Source organism: Homo sapiens, chromosome 14, assembly GCF_000001405.40.
Source record: "Homo sapiens chromosome 14, GRCh38.p14 Primary Assembly".
Taxonomy (NCBI): domain Eukaryota; kingdom Metazoa; phylum Chordata; class Mammalia; order Primates; family Hominidae; genus Homo; species Homo sapiens.
In genome coordinates, this window is record NC_000014.9 from 102576826 (window position 1) to 102585658 (window position 8833).

Genomic DNA, 8833 nt, shown 5'->3' on the forward strand with positions numbered 1-8833 from the left:
AATTTTTTGTATTTTTAGTATAGATGGTGTTTCTCCATGTTGGTCAGGCTGGTCTCGAACTCCCGACCTCAGGTGATCCACCTGCATCGGCCTCCCAAAGTGTTGGGATTACAGGCGTGAGCCACCCTGCCCAGCTGAAAAATGATTTAAAGATGAAATTATAATGAACAGGGAAGCCAAATGGGGAGATTTGGAAAATTTGCAGCCTGGCCATATAAAGCATGAAAGGCATGTTTAGGAGAGCAAATCAAGGCTGTGGCCAAGCCGCCACTTTCGGGTTTTTTTTTTGAGATGGAGTCTCACTCTGTCGCCCAGGCTGGAGTACAGTGGCATATTCTCGGGCCCTGCAACCTCCACCTCTTGGGTTCAAGCAATTCTCCTGCCTCAGCCTCCCGAGTAGCTGGGACTATAGGACCATGCCACCATGCCTGGCTAACTTTTTGTATTTTTAGTAGAGATGGGGTTTCACTATGTTAGCCAGGATGGTCTCCATCTCTTGACCTCGTGATCTGGTTGTCTCGGCCTCCCAGGCTGGCCCGGGTGCCGCTCGACTCACTGCTCTGGAAAGTACAACCTGTAAACCTTAGTGGCAACCATGTGCTGCTAATTCTGCAGGTGCAGATTGCAAGAGCTGCGGGGCCATGGTCTCCTCCACCGAGATTTCAAAGGATGTTACCTACAGCCTGGGGGCCCAGGCAGAGACTTTTTGTTGAGGTGGAGCCACTGCAGAGAACCCCTACCAGGGCAGTGCCTTGTGGAGATGGAGGACAGTGAGGCTGTCCCCAAGACAAGAACTGTAGGCTGGGCCCGGTGGCTCATGCCTGTAATCCCAACACTTTGGGCAGAAGAGGCGGGCCGATGGTGTGAGCTCACGAGTTTGAGACCAGCCTGGGCAGCATGGCAAAAGCTAGTCTCTACAAAAAAAATACAAAAAATTAGCTGGGCATGGTGGCAGGCACCTGTAATCCCAACTACTGAGGAGGCTGAGGTGGGAGAGGATTCCTTGAGCCTGGGAGGCAGAGGCTGCAGTGAGCCGTGATCATGCCATTGCACTCTAGCCTAGGCAACAGGAGTGAAACCCTGCCTAAAAAAAAAAAAAAAAAAAAAAGATTTAATGCTGTCTGCCTACTCGGCTTTGGATTTACTTAGGACCAGTTACTTCTTCTTTCTTTCCTGTTTCTCCCTTTTGGAATGGGAATGTTTAGCCTATGCCTGTATTTTGAAAGTAGATAACTTCTTTGATTTCACATGCTTGTGGCTGGAGAGAATTGACCTCAGGATGAACGGTGCCTGCGTCTCACCCATCTCTGATTTAGGTGAGACTCTGAAGTCTCAACTTTTGAATTGGTGCTGGACCAAGCTATGACTTTGGGGCTATTGGGATGGAATGTATTTTGAATGTGAGAAAGACATGAATTTGGAGCATGAATTCCAGGGATGAAATGCTAGGGTTTGAATACATTCCCCAAAACACATGTGTAGAAACTTGATCCCCAGTGCAGCAGTGTTAGGACATGGGGCCTAATGGGAAGCGTTCAGATCAACAGGCATTGCTCTTGGGAATAGTTTAATGCCATTTTTGAGTGAGTGGGTTTTTTATTGTGGGAGAGGGTTCATGATATAAGGGCGCATTCAGTCCCCTTCTTTCTCTCTCTTTTTCTCTTCTTTGTACCTTTCATGAAGTGCAAAGTCTTACCAGATGCAGGCCCCTCTATTTTGGACTTTCAGCCTCCAGAGCAGTGAGAAATAAATTTCTGTTCTTTGTAAGTTACCCATATCAGGTATTCAGTTACATCAGCATATAACACACTAGTTCCCGTGGGGTGTTGCAAAAGTCACTTCTGGCTGGGTGTGGTGGCTCGTGCCTGTGATAGCATTTTGGGAGGCCAAGGCTGGGAGGATCACTTGAGTCCAAGAGTTTGAGACCATCCTGGGTAACATAGTGAGACAAGATCTTTACTAAAAATCAAAAAATTAGCTGGGAGTGATGATGTGCACCTGTAGTCTCAGCTACTCGGGAAGCTGAGGAGGGAGGATTGCTTGAGCCTGGGAGGTCGAGGTTGCCAGGAGCCATGATCACGCCACTGCACTCCAGCCTGGATGACAAAATGAGACCCCTTCTCAAAAATAAAAATAAAAAATAAAATGAAAAAGTTACTTCCTCTCTCGGGACCTCAGTCTCCACGTCTGTCAGATGGGAGCAATGTCTCCTGCCCTGGATGCCTCCTGAGGTTGTTCTGAGGGTCGAATAAGGCTGGCCCCAAAGGAACCATGACCAGCAGAGAGCTGACCTTGGAGGATAATGGCTGACACCACTGGAATTTCGTTTTGGGGCACTGATCCTGTGCTAGGCACCTTCAGAAGTGACCAAGAGCAGAAAGCCCAGGCCCTGCTGAGAGGGGGATGCAGCGTGGTGACATAAAATCCTGTTGCTGTGTCCCCAGCACCTGGGACAAAATGAGACTTGGGGGTATTGGAGATGACTCGAGGAACCTAGATGAACCTCAGGTGTCTGGGAGCTCCCAGACTGTCAGGAAGAATGACATCAACACCAAACCCTGCCCTGAGTTACCGCATTGTCCTCTAGGGACTGGGCACTGAAGCTTCCTGCAGCAGACAAAATTTGGGTCTGGATCTGAGCCAAAAGCCCCCTCATTTATAAATGGGGAAACATGACTTCACATTGATCCAAAAATAAAAAATAAAAATAAAAAATAAAAACAGGCCGGGCGCAGTGGCTCGTGCCTGTAATCCCAGCACTTTGGGAGGCTGAGGCGGGTGGATCACCTGAGGTTGGGAGTTTGAGACCAGCCTAACCAACACGGAGAAACCCTGTCTCTACTAAAAATACAAAATCAGCCAGGCATGGTGGCGCATGCCTGTAATCCCAGCTACTCAGAGGCTGAGGCAGGAAAATCGCTTGAACCTGGGAGGCGGAGGTTGTGGTGAGCCGGGATTGCGTCATTGCACTCCAGCCTGGGCAACAAGAGTGAAACTCTTGTCTCCAAAAAAAAAAAAAAAAAAAAAGGAAACTGAGGCCCTGAGAGGTCCAGGGGCTCTCAGGCAGCCAGAGGCAGCACCTGACCTGGCCCAGGCCCCCTTCCCCGGGAGCACAGATGCCAGGATGTGTGGATTGGCGCCCTTCTTGGGCTGCTGGGCCCCGTGGTCTGCTAATTAGTCACATCATTTTTGGCATCGCACACAGCCTCGGGAACTGGAGAATGTCATTGTCAAAGTATTTTTGAATATTTGCCTTCTCAGCAAGAAGATGAGAAAGCTGTGAGGACACTCAGTCTTCCACGGGGTGGATACTAACCAAAATCACAAGCAGCTTGAGCTGGAAGGACCTGGGAGCCGGGAGAGATGCCGGAGGAGTCCCGCGCGCTGCCTGTCACAGCTGTGTGACTTCGAGACAGGGCTCTGGCCCCCTGGGCCTCAGTGTCCTCCCCTGGAAAATGGCTCATTCATTTCTCAGGTGGGCATGAAGTTGCTATGTGCCACGCACTGCTGTAGGCTCTGGGGAGCAAAACAGGCAAAAATCTCTGCTCTCACAGGCTGCCATCCCCAGGGGGGCCATACCATAGAAATCAAATCAGATACACCAGGGGTGACACATAGAAGGGAGAGCCCAGGGGTGGGGCTGTCAGGGATGGCCTTGCTGAGAAGGTGACATGCGAGTGAGAATTTGAAGGGGGCAGGAGGGAGCCCAAGGGGTGTCAGGGGAAGAGCCCTCCAGCACAGGGAGCGGCAGGCACAAAGGCCCTGCACTCGGGCAGGACTGGGTTGTTCCAGGAGCATCAGGGAGGCCAGGCGGGCTAGAGCAGGTGGTGACTCAGGGAGGCAACATGACAAGACTGGGTCACAAAAGGCCACTGGAGGCCTGCTTGCTGCTTGTGGAGGGCCTTGTAAACTGCTGGAAAGCCTTTCTTTTCTTTCTATTTTTGTTGTTGTTGTTGTTGACAGGGTCTCCCTCTGTCTCCCAGGCTGGAGTGCAGTGGCTAGAGCTCGCTGTTACTTCAAACTCCTGGGCTCAAGTGTGTGCCACCATGCTCTGCACCCAGGCTGGAGTGCAATGGCGCCATCTCTGCTCACTGCAACCTCCGCCTCCTGGGTTCAAGCGATTCTCCTGCCTCAGCCTCCTGAGTAGCTGGGATTAAAGCTGCCTGCCACCTGCACAGGTAATTTTTTTTGTATTTTTAGTAAAGACAGGATTGCGCTATGTTGGCCAGGCTCGTCTTGAGCCCCTGACCTCAGGTGATCTGCCCGCCTCCCAAAGTGCTGAGATTACAGGCGTGAGCTGCACCTGGCCTTAATTTTTAAATTTAATTTAAAATTTTTGTTTTTGTTGTTGTTGCAGAAATGGAGTCTCCCTATGTTGTGCAGACAGGTCTTGAACTCATAGCCTCAAGTGATTTGTCCGCCTCAGCCTCCCAAAGTACTGGACTTACAGGTGTGAGCCATGACACCCAGCCAAACCTATGGTTTTTTTTTTTGGTGTTGTTGTTTTGTTTTTTTTTTTTTTGAGATGGAGTCTTGCTCTGTCGCCTGGACTGGAATTCAGTGGCGCAATATCTCGGCTCACTGCAACCTCCGCCTTTCAGGATCAAGCGATTCTCCTGTCTCTGCCTCCCGAGTAGCTGGGATTACAGGTGCATGCTGCCATGCCTGGCTAATTTTTTGTATCTTAGTAGAGACGGGGTTTTACCGTTGTTGCCCAGGCTGGTCTTCAACTCCTGAGCTCAGGCAATCCACCCGCCTCAGCCTCCCAAAGTGAGCCACTGTGCCCGACCAAGCCTATGTTTTTGTTCTGGGTGACGGTCTAGAGCAGGACCAGACGTGATATGGTTTCTGTATTAGCCGTATTCTTCTGTGCCCCATGCTTCAAAGATAGAAGCAAGGAGGCCAGGTGAGATGTGAGGAGGCCTGCCCCATGGTGGGGACAGTGGGGGAACGAGAGAGGACTGGACTCCAGATGTGTCTGGAGGCAGAGTTGACATTGGGTGTGGAATTGTAAAAAATAATTTGTTGGCCGGGTGTGGTGGCTCACGCCTGTAATCCCACCACTTTGGGAGGCTGAGGCGGATGGATCATGGGGTCAGGAGATCGAGACCATCCTGGCTAACATGGTGAAACCCTGTCTCTACTAAAAATACAAAAAACAAGATTAGCCGGGTGTGGTGGCAGGCGCCTGTAGTCCCAGCTACTAGGGAGGCTGAGGCAGGAGAAATGCGTGAACCTGGGAGGCAGAACTTGCAGTGAGCCGAGATTGCACCACTGCACTCCAGCCTGGGCGACAGAGCGAGACTTCATCTCAACAACAACAACAAAAATAATAATAATAATAAATTTTTCTTTTTTTTTGTCCTCCCTGCCTCATCCCTGTAATTTATTTTATTTTACTTTATTATTTTTTTTGAGACAGAGTTTCACTCTTGTTGCCCAGGCTGGAGTGCAATGGCGTGATCTCGGCTCACTGCAACCTCTGCCTCCCGGGTTCTAGCAATTCTCCTGCCTCAGCCTCCTGAGTAGCTGGGATTACAGGCATGCGCCACCACGCCCGGCTAATTTTGTATTTTTAGTAGAGACAGGGTTTCTCCATGTTGAGGCTGGTCTCGAACTCCTGACCTCAGGTGATCCGCCCGCCTCGGCCTCCCAAAGTGCTGGGATTACGGGCTTGAGCCACTGCGCCCGGCCTATAATTTTTTTTTTTTTTTTTTTTTTAAGAGACAGGGTTGTCAGGCACGGTGGCTCACGCCTGTAATCCCAGCACTTTGGGAGGCCGAGGCAGGTGGATCACAAGGTCAGGAGTTCAAGACCAGCCTGGTCAAGATGGTGAAACCCCAACTCTACTAAAAATACAATAATTAGTATTGTATTTTTACATACATTTTAGGGGTGAGGTGGCAGACCCCTGTAATCCCAACTACTCGGGAGGCTGAGGCAGGAGAATTGCTTGAACCCAGGGGGCGGAGGTTGCAGTGAGCCGAGATTGCACCACTGCATTCCAGCCTGGGTGACAGTGAGACTCCGTCTCAAAAAAAAAAAAAAAGAAAAGAAAAAAGAGAGACAGGGTCTTGCTGTATTGCCCAGGCTGGAGTGCAGTGGCTATTCACAGGCACAATTCCGCTACTGATCAGCCTGGGAGTTTTGACCTGCTCCATTTCCGACCTGGGGTGGTGGTTCACCCCTCCTTAAGCAACATGGTGGTCCCCTGCTCCTCGGAAGTCACCATATTAATGCCAAAGTTAGTGCGGACACCCTCTCGGCATAGCGCACTACAGCCCAGAACTCCTGGGCTCAAGCGATCCTCTTGCCTCAGCCTCCCAAAGCTGTGTGAGCCACCACGCCTGGCCATTTAAATCATTTTCAAATGTACAATTCAGGGACATACAGTACATTCACGATGTTGCACAACCATCTCCACAGTGAAGTTCCAGCAGGAAACCCATGTCCATGAAGCAGGCACTCCCTTCTCCCCTCCGTGTGCTAGGCCAGTGCAGGGAGAGACATGATATGGGGCTGCCAGCAAGGCAGATGCTAGGGGAAATTGAGGGAGATGGCTGGAGGAGAAGAGGGTCTTCGGCTATCCCCTGCGTCACTCCCAGGAGCCCCAAGATGTGTGCGCAGCAGAGGAGACTCTGAGACACATTCTCCTCTAGACCAGGCACTGCTGAACACTGGAGCAGTGCAAGCAGGACGGCAACACCAAGAGGTCCTGGGCGGGGTGGGGTCTGGGGAGGGAGAGAGATACAAGAACCAAGAGTCCCAGGGCTGCAGCTGAGACAGGGCTGGTAATGAGGCACAGCCCCGGAGTGGGCAGGGGTGGGGACCTCCCATGGATGGGATGGTCAGAAGGCTCCTGGAGGAGGTGACATGTAGGTGGGGTAAGGCAGAGGAAGCCTGGGAAGATTGGGGGAAAGGTGTTCCCGGCCTAGAAACAGCCGAATGCCAGCAGGCCTCTCCGTGTCACACCCCTGCCTCCTAGGGCCATCCATCTCTCTGTCTGTCTGTTCCAGGGAGGGTTCCCCGGTTTGTCTTTTACTGAAAGATCCTGGAGGAGGGGAGGGCTAGTTGTTGCTCTTATGCAAAGGCCCTGAGGCAGGTGCAGGGTGTGAAGGGGAGGGGAGACATGAGGCCAGGAGTCGAAGTGGAGCTGGAGGCAGGGCCATGCCTCATGTGCCTGGGGCCAGCTGTGGAGTGTTTGGAATTTCATCCTTGGCCCACAGGAAATCCCCGTAGGGACCGGGGGTGGGGGTGGGGGGTGGTGGGGGTTGTAAGCCAGGAAGGAAGTGATCCAGCCCTTGTTTCAAAGATGATCTCTGGCTGTCATGTCATTAGGGGATGGCAGTTGGAAGGGTGTCGTGGTATCTAAGCTGGTAGAGGAAAGAGTACGGCCCAGGTATCCCACCTCCCAGGGCACCCTCGTGTCACTCTTGACAGGCCCAGTACTTGCAGTGTCCTGGGGAAAAGCCCCATGTGTCTCTCATCTGTGAACGAGAGGTGAATGGAGGCCCATCTAGCTGGGCCAGGCCTGACCATCCGCAGGACTGAATGCCAGCAAGCCTTTCCACGTCCCACCCCTGCCCACTAGGGCCATCCGTATCTGTCTGTCTGTCCCAGGGAGAGTTCCCTGGTTTGTCTTTTACTGAAAGATCCTGGGGGACGGGAGGGCTAGTTGTCACTCTTGTGGACAAGGGGTAGGTCCTCAGCCAGGAAACCTTTCTTTTTTTTTTTTTGAGATGGAGTCTTGCTCTGTCCGCCAGGCTGGAGTACAGTGGCACGATCTAGGCTCATTGCAACCTCCCCCTCTCGGGTTCAAGCGATTCTCCTGCCTCAGCCTCCTGAGTAGCTGGGAAGACAGGCGCCCACCATCACGCCTGGCTAATTTTTGTATTTTTAGTAGAGACGGGGCTTTACCATGTTGGCCAGGCTGACCCCGAACTCCTGACCTCAACTGATCCGCCCGACTCGGCCTCCCAAAATGCTAGGATTACAGGTGTAAGCCACTGTGCCCAGCCCAGGAAACCACTCTTGGAAGGCAGTTTCTAGACAGAGAAAAGAACACCCTTTTCTCTGAGGGTCTAAATGTTGGTGTAGCCGGTATCTGTCTGCTGCGAGGCTGCTGGGAAGCCAGTGCTCTGCTCATTATCTATATCCCTGCCAATATATCTACACTCTTACTGGGGTCTGGTTTAAATGTCCCAGCCTGACCCCAAGACAAAGTCAGCAGTGGTGACTGAAGCAGCCCTTGCTGCGTGGCAGGCTCTGTGCTGGGCACGGGATTCCAGACACACAAGAGTGAGACCCTATCTTGCAGAGCTTACAATTCGGGGTGGGGGCAGGGGGGAGGGAAACACAAGTAGCCCTAAGCATGGCTCATGACAACTGTCATCAGTGCCAGGAGTGGGGACACCAGGGCCTGGGACAGGGGGCTGAGGCGGTCAGGAGGTTCAGAAGGGCTCCTGGAGAAGGGGGCCTGCGAGCTGAGCTGTGAAGGCCAAGGGGCATGATCTGGGTCGCGTGGCCTGGTGGGAGCCTCACCCCTGGGCAATCCTGGGAAGAGAGGTCCCAAAAGTGGGGAATCTTGAGGCCAGCTTAGGCAGGAGGCCCTCTCCTCTCCTGGGCAGAGACCTGCTTCAGCCTAGGTCTGAGCTCTGCCCGAGCTGGTCTTCCCACATGCCTGCGGCCCCTTGAGGGAGGCCTCACACTGGTCCCAGGCCTGCTGCTGCCGTCCGCCCATGCCTCACGGGAAGCTTCTTAGACAGAGTGAAAAGCATTCCTAAGGGAATGTAAAGAAAGGGCGGGGCGGCTGGGCAGGAAAGGGCCTGGCTCA

The 8833-nt window shown here is 52.5% G+C and overlaps 1 pseudogene, besides 3 other annotated features; it reads right to left on the reverse strand.

The window, feature by feature from the left end:
• Window positions 2736-3422: an enhancer, noted in NCBI's record as "H3K27ac-H3K4me1 hESC enhancer chr14:103045898-103046584 (GRCh37/hg19 assembly coordinates)". NCBI's record gives its function as "activates a minimal SCP1, AML or CMV promoter by ChIP-STARR-seq in primed H9 embryonic stem cells {active_cell/tissue: H9 hESC(primed)}" and the evidence as "EXISTENCE:reporter gene assay evidence [ECO:0000049][PMID:30033119]".
• Window positions 3423-4107: an enhancer, noted in NCBI's record as "H3K27ac-H3K4me1 hESC enhancer chr14:103046585-103047269 (GRCh37/hg19 assembly coordinates)". NCBI's record gives its function as "activates a minimal SCP1, AML or CMV promoter by ChIP-STARR-seq in primed H9 embryonic stem cells {active_cell/tissue: H9 hESC(primed)}" and the evidence as "EXISTENCE:reporter gene assay evidence [ECO:0000049][PMID:30033119]".
• On the reverse strand, window positions 6063-6352 carry RN7SL546P (RNA, 7SL, cytoplasmic 546, pseudogene; annotated as a pseudogene).
• Window positions 7382-7910: an enhancer, noted in NCBI's record as "H3K27ac-H3K4me1 hESC enhancer chr14:103050544-103051072 (GRCh37/hg19 assembly coordinates)". NCBI's record gives its function as "activates a minimal SCP1, AML or CMV promoter by ChIP-STARR-seq in primed H9 embryonic stem cells {active_cell/tissue: H9 hESC(primed)}" and the evidence as "EXISTENCE:reporter gene assay evidence [ECO:0000049][PMID:30033119]".